We start from the raw sequence: 18,348 nt of genomic DNA, 5'->3' as shown, positions 1-18,348 counted from the left end.
ACATTAGTGTTATTCTTATGCTCCCAGAAACAGCATCTCCTATACTTTCTCCTGTTGTCCTGGTGTCAAGTTGTTTCAAAACAGTGTGATGTTGCTACAGATGGAGTATATCATTATTTTCTAATATTCCTCACCATTAAAGTAGATGATAATATTTACTGAACACTGAAGGTATGCATAGTCTGGTGGGTAGATTCAATGGTGTGGTATTTTCTCAGCTCTTCTATGTTCACTGTTACATGGGATTTGGATAAGATACTGACTCTCCTAACAGTGAAAATGGGACACATGTGATCAGGAGTTTTAAGTTTTCCTTTCTTCCCATCAATAGCTAGCTCTGGGGTCTCAAGCAAGGTATTTAACTTCTCTGGGTCTCATAATTCTTGTGTGTTAAAGAGGTTAGTATTCACCATATTTTTTAACATCCAAGTTCGTTTACTAAATAGAAATGCTTACATAAAAGCAGATGAAAGTAATTCAGATATTAGTGTTCATTTTCGTAAGTTCAAATTCATATGGTTGACTGGCCCTCCAGCAACTCCTAGGACCATATAGACAAGACAGCCTCACTCTAGGTGTGATGAAATCCTCAAAGGATGCTGGATCTCTGAAGATTTTATACTACTGCCTTATCTGCACTGTATCTCCAACTTCTGATATTTTTACGAGAGAATGAAACCTTTAGTTTTTAAGCCACAGTTATTTAGATTTTATTTCCATGCAGCTGAATCTAATCCTAATTAAACAAGTTGTGTTCCCCTGCAAAAAAAGCTGAATCACCTTTCCTATTTTTATAAGAAGTGTCAGGAAGGGAGTCCCGCATTGAAAGTAACTGAGACTAGCGGGATTAGATGATTTTCTGTGCAACCTTATCTTCCTTACACTTCTTTTTTATCAATCGTAGCACTGAAGGTCTTACATATTTGCAATAGTAAAAAATAAAACTAATACTATTGTATTAGTCCAGGGCTTAGAGAAGAAAGGGAAGATGTAGACTTGAGAAAAGAGAAGGAAGAGAGTGAATGCTTACAAAGGAAATTAATTATATGTCATTGATTGGGTACTTTCATGCAATATATCCAATGCCTAATTCCCTGTAGACTTTTCACTCCACCCCAGTGTAGCAGGTAGTAAGTGTTAGACGTGAAGAAATATGTATTCCTCATCCCATTTTACCCATGCTCAAAATAAACGTATAAGCTAGTGGGGTAGATAAGCACAGAAAGAAATATGTGCCAATACTTTATCCCTCCCAAATTGATTAACCAGTCTCTACTGGAACATTTTCTGTGATCTGCTCTCATCAGCCTCTGCCTCAAATGTACAGGTAGTGTTGATCAATTTCTCTATCCAAAATAGCACTCCACCTCTTTATCCTTTTCTCTTTATAGCACTTAGCACCTCCTGATATATTGCATATTTTTGTTCCTCTATTTATTGACTCCATACCCCTCAGCTACAAGTGAAAGCTCTGTAAGAGCAAAAACTTTATTTTGTCCACTGCTTTATTTCCTCTGCCTAGAAAAATACCTGGTACATTATAGGTGTACAATAAATATTTACTGAATAGATCAATTTTTAAGAAGTTTATTTTTGCTATTGTGCCCAAACACGCCATGCTTATTTAAGTCTATTTCACTTCAATTTATAGCTGGATTCATTTTGTGTTGTATTTCACTTTATAATAGTGAAAGAAAGCTATTTACATCTCATGCTAATATCTTGACAGTGAAATCAGATGCCAAATGGCAACTTCTTTCTATTAATCCTTGATAAGTATGCTAAAATTACATCTAATATCTTTAATGTCTTTTCCATATGACAGCTTGTCAATTACTGGGAGACAGTTATCATATCCAACCCTACTAAACCTCACCAATATTCTCTTATTCAAACTAAAAGTCTGCAGTTCCTTAAACCATTTTTCATATGGCATATCATGTCTCTTCATCATTCTTGCTACTTCCATTCAGTTGTGCCCTGATTTGTCAAAACCCATTTTGAAATGCGGTGCTCAGTCTTGAACATAATGCTCCAGTTGAATTTTCTGCAGCATAGCATAGAATAAGATCTCAACTCCTTTTCCCACATTTCTATTAATGTCTCCTAAGGGACTCTTACTTCTACTCTTAAGACATGCTTTCCTCTTTTTTGTATCTTCAATATTACAAAATATTTTTTGAATATAAAAATGACTATTTAACAGTTGGTTCAGTCCAATCTCTACCAGCTAAGCCAGGAGGAGGCAGCTGATCCCTGAAGGGCAGAAAAAAGCAAGCCTTGGGGAAGCAGGAAATAACTAGCCAGCACAGAAAGGTCTCCCGGTGGGAAGGAGGAAACTGTCTGCTGCACACAGTGTAATCGTTTGCAAATTATAATGTCTTCTACAAACACATCTCCCAATAAGAAACGAGGCTGCTCATTCAATACTGACAAGTGTTTAAGGCTATCTCCACAAGATACCAAAACATCTGGAAGAAGAGAGGTGGAAATCACCCAGATGTTTGAGGAATGATAGGGTTGATATTGCAGCTAGTTGCAGCTGCCATAGTCCTTTTTGGCATTTTTACAAGATCTCATTGAACTTCTTATGTTTCTTCAACATACCAGTTTTATAACATGTGTGCACTCACATGCATACACACACACACAGAGAAAGAGAGAGAGAAGTTGTGAAAGATTTCCATAGCTTTTCTAACAGAAGGAAAGGATTTAGATGTATATCTTCAGGGTATATACATTAAGGAAACATGTCAGTGTGAAAATACTATTTACACTTGAAAGATGCAATAGAATTTGGATTTTCATTTGTCAGTGTCTTCCAATGTTCAGAACTGCTCTTATACCAGAAACATGTTGGTTCCCATGATGACAAATATCAAGTGCCTATTTCTAGCACTTTCGGCTTTTATTTTGTCAGTTGTCTCATCTGCAGCTGCCTGATCTCTAAGGTTCTCTAAGCTGTGATCCATGATTCTGGGAGTCCATAATACAGAATTGTGATCTATCACTACTGTGGTTATGGCTTTTTATATAAATCTAGCCCCTAGGGAGAGTTCATACAATGAAATATTAAATTAAACATTTAAATTATGTTCTTCCATAGCATTCCTATTAGTTGAAGAACTACGGGAAAAAAACAGAGACCACAAAGAATGATATATGGATCTGTTTCCATAAATTTACTTTTCTGTCAAAAATTGTGTAGATTCCCTTTATCTTTCACTCTGAGTTATAGTCAGTTTTCTGTTGGAAAAGAGACAGATCGCAGTGGCTAACTGCAGGATTTTTTTTGCCATAAAAAATCATACTGTGATAATTAGGAATATTTCTAATGCCGCTGAGGAATGGAAAGTAAAATGAACATATTGCTTTGAATTAAAATATGGAAATTTATAGCACCACCTATTGGTTTCAAAATAAATATTATTTTTTTCTAGTTTTAGTAATTATAAAGAATAGTATAAAGGTGCGTTATTATTATTTTGAGATATATGAAGATTAATATTTTTAGTTCCTAGTGATGCTATGGAAATTTTTTTAAGCAAAACTCATATTCAGGAGTTATGCCAACATGACTTTTTAAACTAATATAAATTAAAGCTGTTATATGCCAGGGAAGTAAAATAGAACTGGGATTTTTATGAACACATTACTTGTGCCATGTTATATAAAAATTTTTAAAACTCCTTTTGATTGCTATTCCTAAACTGATGATGTGTGTTGGGCTCCGCTTTTTCTGCTGTCCAATTGCAACAGAGGAGATAAAATACATCTGGTCTTTAATTTCTCCATTCATGTCTTCTTCCCCTAAAATCTGGAGAACACGCTGAAAATCTCTCACTAGAATAAACTCTCATAGCATTGGCTATTTTAGATTCTCATTCAGATAGTCCTTACCCTTTTATTTAGTCCAACTTCTATAACAACGAAGGAGCTGGCGCAGGAATCTTGAAACAGTGTCCTCTCCGCTCCGCTTCAGCCTGTACCACTCTGCATTATTTTCCAGAATGCATGACCCCTCCTAGAGAACAGAGGAGGAAAGAGCCATTCTTTCCCTTTCCCACACGTTAGGAAGCATATGGACAATACTTTATGGAAACTCCCTTCCCCACCCTCGGGAGAACTGAGTTTATGAAAGGATCACTTTCTGGAATAGAGCTTATGAACACATTTGTCTCTCTGACCCTAATTATTTTACATGGATTATTTTTAAAATCAAGTTGCCCTTTTTTCAAAACTTGAAGAGAAGTAGAGGCCTTGAGGCCATCAAAATGACATCCTGGCCCTAATATGTGCAGTAGCCAAATGATCTGGAAAACTGAGCTCTATACAGAGGCCCTCTGAATAGAATTGAAGGGAAAATGATCTAATTTAGAGTGCACATTAAACACAGGTTTTAAATGGTTTCTTTTCATTTAACCAAATACTCACTTTTCCAAAATGTCAACAGGCATTAAAATATGAAGGATGACTAAATGTGGAAGCAGAGGAAAAGAAACAAAACAAACAAAATAAAAGTAATACTTGACTCTAACAATCACAAGAAATTAGATTATCAGAATTGTTAGGCCGAACTATATAAATTATATTTTTGTAAGTCAAAAATGCCAAACTGTAAATGTCACATAGTTCATTCTAATATTAAGTGAAGAGAAAAAGAATTCAATTATGTTTAGAAACAAAAATGAAAGACACAGAAGAGAAGAGCCAACAATGCTAAACATCATTCAGATAGTGATAGTTAGCATTTTAGGCTTTCTTAACCAAAATTGTGAATGTGGTTCACCTTAGCTCCCTCATGAACTGCCTAGTGCTAATTTCTAATCATGAGCACTTGCCTGTACTTTCACTCCAATGCACTGCTTCTCACCCAGTTTCTGATGGGTAGTTTAAAAATGTCTATGTTTAGAACTACCTGTCTTTTATGTAACAGAATTTCAAGATGGGATCTATGATCTTCTTTGGGGATTAAAAATAATTGCAATTTTATCTTTTTTTTTTATTTTTAGATTTTAAGAAGGTTAGGAATATCCACAGCCTGATTAGACTCGGAATCCTTCAAGACCCATTTCATTTTTTACTTCCCCATATTCTAAACAGGCTTCCCACTAAGCAGCCTTCACATCCTCCCTGCGGGTCTTACTCACAGAGCAAGCCATAATAACAAGCTTCCATGCCCTGGCTGGCTTTTTGGCTCAATGGGACAGTTCTATTGCCAAATCCTGCTTCTAGAGCTGCATGGATTTATCCTTACATGCACCTTAGTGACATGCTCTATTTTGTCTCATCTGAGATCAGGTCCATTTTCTACGTCCTCTGGTTGCTCTTCGGGTGACAAGATGTCTACATCTGGAAGGAAAGAAACCCCTAATATATTTTTGCCTTTTGCCCTGAAAAATACCATGTCATTGTGCATGTGGAAAGAAGCATGTTTAGTAATAAAAGAAGGACATGATGGGGTCAGCTAGGGCTTTTAGAGACAGTCCAGATGAAATTTAAAGAGAGAACTGCCACGACGGTTTTTGAGAAAACTGGATGATGTTAGTTTCGAAACCTATAGCCCATAATCTGGACTCAGCTAAAACATACCAAAAAGCTTAGCTCAGACCTGCAAGGTTCACTTACTCTAAACATCAAACAAGGAAATGTACAAGATTTGCTTTCTTTCTCTTTAATAAAGTACATTTTATGAAGTAGAAACTGGGGAACACAAATCGTTTTATGGAAGCAAGAACTAGTACTTAAAAAATGAGAAATATGTGTGGGGATAGTGTTTATTTTTGTATGCATAAATATACATACATGCAATGATTATTAATATTTACATACACATACACGTATGGTAATAATTGTCTCTCTCAGAAAGTGGTTTCAATCTAGAAACAATTGGCAGACAAAGAAAGGAAAACTGAGAACCGTCCGGTCTACAAAACTATCCCAGAGGACAACCTTCCCAACAATAGGGAGACTGATAGCATAATAATCGCCATAAAAAAAACATGGGGGAGGGGAATTAGAAGATTCTTTAGCATGTTTATGGATTCATATGAAATATTTTAGAACCCTAATTCTTTGCAACTCGACGTTTATTTATGTGTGCAAAAATGGATTGACAGTTTCAAGTGAAGGGTAGTTGGGTGTCAGAGTCTTGGCAACTAGTGACAACTGCAACTCCTGGGTGTGTGTGTGCTAGATGGGGAGAGAAAAAGACAGACAGAAAGCCCTCCCTCCTAAAAAGATATTCCCACCACAAACATGCCACTGTCCACTACAGAGTATGTTTTGTTATGTCTGTGAAAGATTCGGGTTGATTTCCATCTTCGTACAACACACGCCATGGAATATTTACATGTTTGGGTACATCAACAAAGAAAAAAAACAAAACAAAACGAAACAAAAAGACGCACACACAACACACACACAAAGTGGGATTGTGCTCCTTTGTTTTGCATTTTCTGTAACCCAGATTGCGGTAATTATCTCCCTGGCTTTAGAAGCCTTTTCTTTCATTCTAAAGGCAGTTTTTGGAATCACGTTACACTTAACTCAGTTTAACAAATAAGAGTAGTCTGGCAAAATGGCACCATGTGCTTTCCACAAATATTTGTGGTATAGGCAAGCTCTCAATGTTTTTATTATGCCCAAGGTTCTTTGGTTTTAAAGCAAGTGGAATAATGTAAAGAAGGAAGAGAAGCACGAATTTGGGAACTGGGTGTGTGTTGGATGCACTTTGCAAAGCTTTCTGTGCCAGAGAGCGAACGAAGGAAAAGATACATTTTAAAAATAACTGGGGAAATAAAAAGAGCAAAAAAGGTTTGGAGGCATTTAGCAGAGCACAGTTTACCCTGGCGTGAGCTACAGGCTAATGATAGAATAATAACATTTGGCGCTGGAGCCCCGAGAGGCTGACAATGCGCTCACTGTAGCCTGTGCGCTTCACACATTTGCCGGGTTCTGTAGTCAGGACAAAGAATTGCAGAACAGAGGCAAAGTAAAGAAGGGGGTGAAAGAGAGAGTCTGCACTCAAGTTTACTGTAATATAAATATACATACACTGTGCTACAGATGTTCCTCATTGGCAAAGGCTGGCACGTAATTATGCTATGCGCTTCATAATATTTTAATGAGCTTTTTCTCCAAATAGCAACGAAAATGAACAATAAGAAGCTCTTAGGGAGGGAAAGTTGGTGTTGTTTTTGTCCCTGGGAAAAAAAAAATCTCATAATAGGTTCTATTAGAATGGCAGAAAAAACACTGCTCTGGGTTTAATAAAATTGGATTGAATCTAAAATATGGTTTCTGAAGCTAGTTTTTTTTTTCCTTCAACTTTAACAGTTCATTCAGGCTAAAGGAATAACAAAACAGGGGTAACAGTGTAATACTGGTTGATTGCTTTTCTCCCTGTTCTTTCTCTTTTTAGGAAAAAATAAATAAAGCCTTCAGTGGAAACCTTACAACAATGCTGTTAATATATTGTGCCAATTAAAGTCTCGAAATAAATAACAAACCACTTAATATGTGTTGTAAATGTCGTGCTGATTTAAGTATTGTTACACATAGATTACACATCTCTTCCGGGGATGGATGACTGGATCCTCAATGCAAGTTGTCTCTTTGTCTATATGTGCCGTGTGTGTGTGTTCCCTATTGTTATTTTTTAGTTTGCTATAGGGTAAATTCCAAATAAAGAATAGAGTCAAACTTTGAGATCTGCAAGAATACAGCAAGTTTTTAGCATTACTACTCCTGCAAAGAAAATAATTATTTTTGATCATGCTCAGTATTTCATTTTTTAAAAAACCAATTCTATAGCAAAATTAGAGTACGCATCTTATTCAAATTTCTAAAGAACTCTTTAGATGGGATTTTTGCACAGACATTTTTTATATTACGATGAGCTGAATGAGAGTTTTGTATTTGGAATGGGAGTAAAAATATTACAATTACAACAATAATAAAGAAATAATAACCTCTGGATACTCTCTGGGGAAGGAAAACCAAATTTCCACATATAAAATATTTTGTATTGGGATATGGAGCATAAATATTATCTTGCTAATTTGTGGATGGTAGATGTTGGTTGTTACTCAGAATTTTTAGTTCTCATGTGCAAATCCTATCATTTATGAAGTTTGATGTTTTTATTACTGAGACAATATCTCCTACTATTCTCCCCTTTTTGTGAATCCCACTGTGGCATATGTATAGATTAAAGGTGTAGGTAAATTCTCATGTCAGGGTCTCCAACAGATCACTTGGCTTAAATAACTCAAATTTGTTTCACCTTTTGCATTTTTAATGTAAGGAAGTGACAGATAGAAAAAGTGGACCCCCAGGATATAGTCATATGAAATAACTTATACACAAGTTCCTGAAGTATCATTTAAAGACAGTTTAATTGCTAACCCCTTCTGTATCCATCCTTCTTGGGAATGTAAAATTACATTAATAGGGAAGACTGGAGGCCATTACAAAACTCGCCATGCCCTCAAAATCAGAATTAAAATTAAGTTGAATTATGATGAGTACAGTTGAGTGTCAAGTTTATTTCAACTTTCAATATTTTTTCAAAAGTGGATACTCTATGCATGACTGTTTGTTAACTTAATTGGCCAGAATATGTTAACAATCTGAGTATTGCTCACTCCTTCCCAGAGAAACGCCCTCTATGTGGTAGATCTTAACGTATACACAGAAACTGATTAATTTTTTAAAAAAGTTTCCTGTGTACATAGCTAACTATATGAAAGGTATAAAATGGGCATGTGTGGTTTTTGATGAATTTTTGGTTTCTAATCAATAATCCAAAGATGTAGACTTTTTTTAAAAGTAAAGCAGATTAATAGGAATAAGTTATTCTATGTGTGGGCAGAATTAAATAACATGTAGCATATCTGTGTACTTAAAAGGATGGACTCAGGAGTTGGATTATATGAAATCAAATCCTAGTTACGTGACTTAACACCTGTGTGAGTTTGGGCAAGTTACTCAATCTCACCATATGTCAGTTTATCCATCTGTAAAATGGGAATAATGATAATACCTCCCTCATAGTCTTATGAAAAGAACTATATGAATTAGTAAATAAAAAGCACTTAAAACAATGGCTGGTATATAATAAGTATTCAAAAATATTTACTGCCTTAATAATCAACATCATATTATTATCTAATAAATCCAGTATGTTACTAGTAGATCTTTCTGCTTACCAGTTGACCCAGGATCTAGAAGTCCTGGATTTCAGATGCAGCTTCCCCACTGATCAACTGGCTCTGTGATCTTCATTTAGTCACAGTTTCCTGCTTTCTTTACCTATAAAAGTAGGGAAAGTTGAGAGATCATTTATAAGTCTGGTTATCTATTATAACATAAATCTTTAAAAGTAATTCAAAAGTTTCCTGAAGATGTCTATTGATACTACAAAGAAAAAAGTGACACGGAGGAACTGAAGACCAGGGCAGAAGAACTGAGAAGTGTGAAAGTTGTTTCAGCACCTCATGTTGGAGAGAATTTGCCTCCTACATGTAATGCCACTATGTCCAGTCAAGGTGCCACAGAATGAAATACTGGGACCACCACACAGCTGAGTGTAACTATGTCCTAAGGCTGCATTCGCAATCCCTAGTCACAATTCCTCGCTCTCTCAGAACAACGGTGTCTAAGAGTTCTGCAGTTCCAACCCTGGTTTGTGACAGACCACAGACGTGTGTTCAGGGATATATGGCTTCCTCTCTGTGGACAATCAAACTTCTTGGCTCTCCAGAGTATTTTAATCCCTTCCATAGAATAAGTTAATCATTTTTTTTTTTTTAACCAAGGCACAGAAGTGCATGGAGTTTTTCTCTTGGGAGCTGAAGTTATGCCTTTCCCCTGCCTACTGTCCTCAATATCAACACCATTCAGAACGAAGTGCTTCTCAGCTGAAGTCTTCGTAGAAGTAAAATACCCAGGCACTACAAAGGTTCTTTAGCACCAAAGACTTTTATGGATGAGTGTTGAAAATATTTAATATTCTATCTGCTTAATGGTAAATAACACAGAACAATTCTGAGCACTTAGCCTGAGCCAAGCTACTTTCTAAATGCTTTCCGTATATTAATTCATGTGCTCCTTACCAAACCCTATATGGGCATTTTTATCACATCTCAGACAGCAAACATGATAAAGCATTTAAGATCACATTGTGGGGAAGCTTGTGAAGAATGTAAGCTTCCTCTTACTTGAGAACCCAGAGTCCTAGCAGCCACACCATGACCTAACTCCAGCAATAAACACAAACAACACATTTTACAAGCAAAGCCAAAAAAGCTTTCCAACCAGATATTAGGATTTATGACTATTAAATCAGACTATAATATACATCTATTTGTCACCAGCTAGTTTAATTCTTTACTATTTGAATTGTGATTTCACATCTTGTTCTGATTTGAATTTCCCAATGACCTTGGGAAATAAGAAAAACCTGGATTTTTAAAAAGTACATGTTAGCCTTGTTAGCCTTTCCTTCTCTTGCCTATAATTCCTATTTTAGATCATTTCTAAGGAAACTAACCTTCTAATACTTACATACTAGCCAGCTGTAATACTAGCAAGAAAATCCACTAGCTCCTCTAAGAATACTAAGCCCGGATCCTCCAAATTTGGTAATAGAGACTCTCCCCCTGGGATGGATCTCTGAGCCTCTATTTGTGTTGTATTAGATAAGTCTGTATTACTCTACTGCTGTCACCTGCTAGTTCAATTAATAAAAGCAAATCTAGCCCCCTCGAATGTGGCCAAGGAATGAGTAATTCCTTCACAGAGGGGACAGCCCTGCTGGACCTACGTTATAGTTGCCCAATCTGGCCATCCTACCTATATTTTAATTCTCCCTGCATTGTCATCCTTAGAGGACTGACATTCTATTTTATTAAGGCAGGCAAAAAAGAACAGGGAAACATAGAATGCTTAGGCCAAAAAAAGAAAAGGGAAGCACATTGTGATTTAACACTGTGAATGACTTTTGAAATAGTAAATGGAGTTGAAGCTAAAGATTACCTCTGAATACAGCTCTATATTTTCTCCAACAAAAATAAACAGATATAAATGTGTACATCCAAAATATATTTTAATATATATTTTAATTTTTTCAATCTTCGCTACAAGAAAACAAATGACCGTGCCAACAGCATTAAGCAGAATTAACAAAAATTATGGTTCCCTGTTGCAAAATCAACTATAGCTCCACATATAAATGTCCTTGTCATCCAGTCTGGAATGGTTTAAAGCAAGACATTTGTTACCAAAATCTTGATCACCATTATAAAATCTTAGAAGTTCAATATTTAGCTAAAGGAATTCCAGATTACACCAGAAATAATGTGATATATGCATGCACACTGCATCTTGTAGCATTATAAGATAGTATAAATCACATGCAGCCAAGTCCAAGTATTTCAAGACCAGAATTTTTTATTCATTTCTTCACTTGAAACATTAACTTTAGAAGTTAGGTCAAATGTCTTTGAATCCTACCTCCACCATTTAAAAGCAAGCTGAATTAAGGATAATTATATAAATGTTTGGGGCCTCAGTTTACTTTTTACTTATCTTTAAAATGTATAATTTCTGCCCGCGAGTTGCAAGGCAGTATTAAAGAAAATGTATGCTTCATTCCCATCAGAGAGCATGGCTCAGCGTAGGTGCTCTATAAATAGTCTAGCTTCTATTTTAATAATTAGCTCTACCTTACATTCTCTGAATTTCTGTATCTGTTGCTGATATCATCTCAATTCCAGTTAAGTCCTTCCTGATTAAACAGTTCTTCCTTGGCTAGGGATCAAATAATCAAGTGCAAAAAAACTACAAAGAAAATTAGAGCATAAGAAGTGAGAAAGAGATGATCAAGGGGAGAAAATTGGGCGATCTCTTATTGTATTCCTGAAACTGATATTCAAGGGCTAGGGGAGCACAATGCCATGGTTTTGGTTTCAGCATTAAGAGGCGGCATATTGCCATGCAACTCAAGAAAAGGAGACATGGTATTCTGTTCTTGGTTGTAGAAGAGGCCTTGGTCAATATGACTCTCTGGAAAATATACAAATATGTACAATTCTAATTCCCTTTTAAGCAACGAATGTTTATGCTCATGAAAAAAAGCCTGTAGGCATTGACTTGATTTCCCTACAAAACAAACAAAGTCATCCTGAAGATGATTTTGTTGTTATTATTGAGTAGATTAACTTCAACTCACCCATCTGAATGCATGATACTCCAGCATATCCTTGAAAAAACTCACTATAATTCAGGGGAAATCTTGTACAATAGGCCTCTCTCAAAAATTGTGCAATGTGCCAATTTTCCCATTGTCAGGGTGGGTGGGAAATAGTGTGTGGGTGTGTCCCTAGACAAGCAACCTAAGAAGAGAGCAGGAGAAAGCTGAGACACAGATGGCGAATGTCTGGGCTATCCTTCCTGACACAAGTGTGTTTGTGACTGGCTCTGTCTCCCATGCAATGGCTTCAGCTGGATATGTGCCTGGTGCATTACATATGACAGAGGGAATGGAGAAGTTGTTTCCCATAGAGAGTATGAAGTTTAGAAGACAAAGTGAATCTGTAGGGGAAACTTCCAGGTCTGTGCTATCCTGGAAACATACCATACCATATCCTATTCAGCTAATAGGAGAGTCTCAAACTACTCTAAGAAGCTTTCTTTAAAGGAAATCTTATACATGTTTTCTCACTGGAATGGGGCAGGGCAAATAACATTTTCACTGTAATTAGAGAACATGTTTTCAATTTGCATAAGGAAGAGGAGTCAGGCTTAATCTGGGTGACTCCGAAACATGTCTTAGTGAATGTTACAGAGAGGGCAAATTCAGCTCAATAGAAAGAAATTTTTGACAATTAAATCTACCCAGGACTGGCGCAGTGGCTTACGCCTGTAATCTCAGCACTTTGGGAGATCGAGACAGGTGCATCACTTGAGGTCAGGAGTTCGAGACCAGCCTGGCCAACATGGCAAAACTCCATCTCTACTGAAAATACAAAAATTAGCCGGACATGATGGCGCGCACCTGTGGTCCCAGCTACTTGGGAGGCTGAGGGAGGAGAATCGCTTGAGCCCAGGAGGTGGAGGCTGCAGTGAGCCGAGATTGTGCCACTTCACTCCAGCCTTGGTGACAGAGCAAGACTCCATCTCAAAAAAAAAAAAAAAAGGAAAACTGGAATGCACTGGAGGAGCACATTAAGGATTTTCATACCTTGGAAAAGAGTTGAGCTAGAATCCTGAGATTCTATAAAAACGTTTGATAAAAGAATGGGAGAAGTCATGGTCTACGGGAACACTGAGAAGCAGAGTTGCATAAATTCTAAAGTAATACATGGAAAGCAACTAAACTGCTCTGCTTCTTCACCCCACAGTCCCACTCAAAAGCACTACCATAAATACATGAGCTCGGTGCCAAGAAGACAGGATTCCATACTGGGGACAGCTCTTACTCCAGTGACTTCAGGAGGAGGCTGGGTAGAAGGAAGACCCAGATGACAGTTAAGTCATAAGTTTCTAGTGGCCTAAAAACACACCACTTTTTTTTTTTTTAGCTCTGGTGGGATTCTGCCTATAGTTCTTGCAGGCCTCCTCTGTTGTTTTGCAGACTTCTAGACAGAGGGAGTTTTCTCCAATCTATAATCATAATTTAGTTGCTTTACGGCTCTTAAAGAGAATGACTCAGTGGAAATTATGCCAGAACTGTGCTTAATATCTTTCATAATAAGAACTGCTGATGGCTTCTGTTTCTAGGTTTTCATCATCTAAATGCCCTCTCCCATTTCTCCATGTGGCCATCTCTGCCTGAAACTTTAACTCTCATTCCTTGAACCCTTCCTTGGTCTTTGTATGAATCCCTACCTGGATGTTCTCCCTTCTCTGTGCTTCTACAGCACTAGACCCCCACTCTAGAACGTGGGACCAGGACCAGCTATGAAATTTGTGCAGCCAAAGCAAAATGAAAATGTGGAGCCCCTTGTTCATAAATTATTAAGAATTTCAAAATGGTGACACAGAACATTAAACAAAGTGTAGGGCCTGCTAGGCATAGGGCCCTTTGTAATTGCAAAATGACATGTCCATGGAGGCAACCCTACTCATGGCACTGTAATCAGTTTCTGTGTTACATAATATTTTGTGTGGACTTTGGGTTATTAATCACTCATCACCGTTTATTTTATAGTGGCATCCATAGTTCCCCCTTTCTCTGTCTCTCTCTGTCTCTTTCTCTTCTCCTCACTCTCTGACTTTCAATCTTGAGAACAAAAATACAAAAATAAGGAGGGAATTTTGAATGCATTTGTACACCAGCAGTGCCCTCCAAAACCGTTGAGAAGTTCCTGGTACCCAAATCCTTACATATATGCCTAGTTCTTCCTCTGTTTTCAAGCCTGATTCTCCAGTGTTCTAGTTGATCCTCTGAGTTTCTGTTGCCTGCAATCAAAGAACCCTGCAAGAGATAGGTGTATCGCATTCTCTCACTGAACTGTGATTCTTTGGTCTAATTAAAACTATAGCAGGCATGCATTAAATACTGCACACCAACCAAGTACAAAATACTTATGTATAGTATTTCATTTAATTTTCACAATGAGCTTTCAAGGTAGGTAATACTCTCCCTTTTCAGATGACAAAAATTATTTTCTGAGACATCAGTTAATTTTCTTAATGTCTTAGACACAGTTACTAGTTATGGGACCAAGATTTTCTCACTGACTTTTTCTAATTCCCAAGACCACATTTTCCCACAATGACTTATTTTTTCCATATCCTCATTGTCTAGCACATTCCTTGGCACATCATATTCCCAATAACTTTACAGTGAGTGAATAAACAGAGTAAGAAATATCCACGTCCATGTCTTCATTAGTTCATCACCAATATAAAATGGCCTACAATTATAAAGTCACATTTTTATCCTTTGCCTCTGTCATCATAAAATTTTATTTGCCATTTAGTACTATGAAAACATTGGCAGATCTATCATCTATTTCAAACATTGCCTTAGCATACCAATAATCTCGTTTATTTTATGATTGTTTCTGAGCTTAATTGTGACTGCCACTTTCAGATCAAAAGCACAATTACTAGCATGCATATATATCAATTATTGATGCTCAAGGAATAAACTAAACAACTTGAATTATGTTGGCCTCTATTTAAATAGAGGCATTCTCAAATTATTGCCCTTTACCCAGAAAAATAAGTGGAAGGTATAAAGGTGCGTAGAGGTTAATAGTTGGCCTAAAAATGTAATTGTGCCATTCTGCATAGCGTTGGCACAAGACATGCAGGTAGTAAGAGCAGTTTCAACTTCTATATGGGGTCTATATAACCATAGCATAAACAGAGGAAATACACTTGGCATGTAAAAACAAAATCCATAATTTTTCCCCTTTAATGTGCCTAACAACTCAATGTAAATAAGATGTCACTGAGCAGAAGACTAATCTTTGCCATTCATTTACAGGTTCAGAGGTAAAAAAAAGAAAAAAAAATCAATTAATCACAAAAGCTTCCAAACAATGCAAACAGCATTAAGCACAGTAATTATAAGATAAGCATTCAAGCAATTTTCAGTTGATTGGGTGTGGGTGTGCTGAAGTAAACCTACAGTTTGCCTGCTGGTGCAAGAATGGCTTATATGCCAATTAGTGGTTATTGCTACTAATTATTAAAAACATTTTTAAGAGTAATTAAAAATTAAATGCACCTGTATGATGGCTCATAACTGTGTTGTGGTAAATCACTCAGATTTTCCATATCAATTGCACAGGAAATCCTCAGTGAGATGGAGAAGCCTTAAGACACCAAATTTCAGAAGCCACATTACATATGCATTGCCCTCCATGTGGAAGCAGGGCTGAGGTTTGTTTTTTCTGCTCAAAAATTTCGATGAATGAATGCTACTAGACCAAGATGAAGATGATAAAGGTTTAATCCTTCGCTTCTGACACTAGTTTTATCCTCATTGCCATAAAATACTGCTGAAAAGGAAAGATCAGCTTAGCCTCATCTGAGAACTCTTTCCCTGTTAAAAGGTGTGTTAGGAAGGACAACTCTGAAATTCTAAAAGGAATACTGGGATCCCAGTCTTATTGCCACCACTAACAATATGACCAGAGTCCACTAACCTCCTGGTTTCATCTTCTTTACCTTCAAGGCATGAAGATTTGAACTGACCTTGAGAATTTTTTTGAGTAATAAAAATCTGCATCCTAATTAGGCTAATGTTCATACCACATAGACAAGGAAAGCTGGAAAATATTTACTGAGTGTTCATTCAGTTTTCGACTTTTCCACCAGTTGTTGAAATCCTTGGTTGCACACTAGAATCACCTGGGGAGGTTTTAAAAACTATAATGCCAAGGTCCATTCCCCAGAGACTTGAATGTAATTGGTCGGAGATGGTAACAGGGCATCAACAGATTTTCAAAGCTCTCCAGGTGATTTTAACGTCTTTAGAGGGTTACAGATTACCATGCATGCTTCACAAATAGTAGATCACTAGTTCTGATTTTTAAAAAATATTCTATGTATTTCTGTCCCCATTTTACAGATAAGGACACATATTTAGGAAGGTTAAATGTCATTGTAGCACAAATGTAGCACAGACAGGATTCAAATCCAAGTGTCTGTGATCCAAAGATCCTGGGTTTTCTTAACCGTACATAGACTATCAATTTTATAAATTGTTGATTAATTTCCTGCTGATTCTTCTCTTTGATTGCTATTATAGCATATATCCTTAAATACCTTTTACTTAAATGTCCTTGTAGTTCTCACATATTTATTTTATTTATTTATTTATTTATTTATTTATTTATTTATTTATTTTGAGATGGAGTCTCACTCTGTCTCCCAGGCTGGAGTGCAGTGCCATGATCTTGGCTCACTGTAACTTCTGCCTCCTGGGTTCAAGCAATTCTCATGCCTCAGCCTCCCAAGTAGCTGGGATTACAGGCGCCCGCCATCGCACCCAGCTGATTTTTGTATTTTTAGTAGAGACGGGGTTTCACCACATTGCCCAGGCTGGTCTCAAACTCCTGACCCAAGTGATCCACCCACCTCAGCCTCCCAAAGTGCTGAGATTGCAGGCGTGAGTCACCGTGCCCAGCCCTAGTTCTCAGATATATAAACGGAATAATATACATAATTAGAAACATTAATTTGCCTGTTATTCCCATAAAGGATTTTTTTCTATATACTAAAAACAAAATTTTGGAGGACCAAGTGATAATATTCCAGAAAATCATAGCAATATGGGCTCTTTCAATGACCAACTGAAGCTGAAAAAGCATCCTGGCTGAGGGGAGGAAATATTATTAGCCACTTCCGCTGTCTCACACTAAAACAAAGTACACAAGGAGGAAGTAGAGGTGATGCAAGCAGTGAATGAGAAATCAGGAAAATTTCCATTAAACTCTGCCTAAGTCCTTTAGGGCTCTGTCTCTGTTTTGTTCCTCTTAAGGTTGTCACTTCTATGCCTAATGATTATCTCATTGGTTCCAGGACATTGTTACCATTTACCTCCACTGGATATCTATTTTCTTTCAAAAAGGTAAGAAGCAATTTATGTCCTATTATAATTTTATTTGTAATCTTAATTAATCCTACATGTCCAAGGTAAAGACAGGTAATCATTACGTGTGTGTGTGTGTGTGTGTGTGTGTGTGTGTGTGTGCATATATATATATATATATATATATATATATATATATATATATATCTTGAGTCTACTATCTGGTACACTATTGGGGCTTAAGGAAACAAATAACAACAAAAAATCCAAAAAACACCCATCATACAGCATTTGCTACACTTCTTTTTACTGAAAGTCCTACTACCTACCAATTCACACCCCACCTGCCAACTCCCTCACCTGAAAGCAAGAAGGAATTGTATTTTCACTCCAGCATGTAATTGGCAGATCCATATTTTGTTTTTGCTTGTTTTTTTTCTTTCAGCACAATCAACGTGCCTTTTCCCTGATTTTCTCTGCCAAACATATCAGATTGTGGGAGGTTTATGGATACACAGTACTTCACAGGCAACCTGAAAGGTAGGGAGACTGCGAGGAGATACTGCAAAAAAAAAAGTGTGATGGAGAAAGCATGAGTGACTACTGGAAGACAGACCTGAGATAATTATTGAAGAGATGACAGTGAACATTACCATGATATGTTTCACCAGGTTGTGTTTCAAAGATAATGAAGAACTATTAAATCATTTTATTTTCTTTGAGATATTAAAGAATAAATGAAAGGAATATGCAGATGATAATTATAAATAACAATTATGATAAGTTTGAGTAGC

The 18,348-nt window shown here is 36.8% G+C and overlaps 1 long non-coding RNA gene across 1 annotated transcript in view; it reads right to left on the bottom strand.

Moving 5' to 3' along the window:
* Window positions 1-9,759, bottom strand: part of LOC105375977 (uncharacterized) — a 46,773-nt gene extending 37,014 nt beyond the window's left edge. The window contains exons 1-3 of the long non-coding RNA XR_929484.3: window positions 9,498-9,759; window positions 9,213-9,315; window positions 3,901-4,024 (exon numbers count right to left, since the gene is read on the bottom strand). This is a non-coding gene — a long non-coding RNA (uncharacterized LOC105375977). The remainder of the gene's footprint in view (window positions 1-3,900; window positions 4,025-9,212; window positions 9,316-9,497) is intronic.
* Between the last annotated feature and the right edge of the window lie 8,589 nt (window positions 9,760-18,348).

This window comes from Homo sapiens, chromosome 9 (genome assembly GCF_000001405.40).
Source record: "Homo sapiens chromosome 9, GRCh38.p14 Primary Assembly".
Classification (NCBI taxonomy): domain Eukaryota; kingdom Metazoa; phylum Chordata; class Mammalia; order Primates; family Hominidae; genus Homo; species Homo sapiens.
Note: the sequence above shows the minus strand (reverse complement) of the source record. Positions and strands in the feature narration are given on the sequence as shown.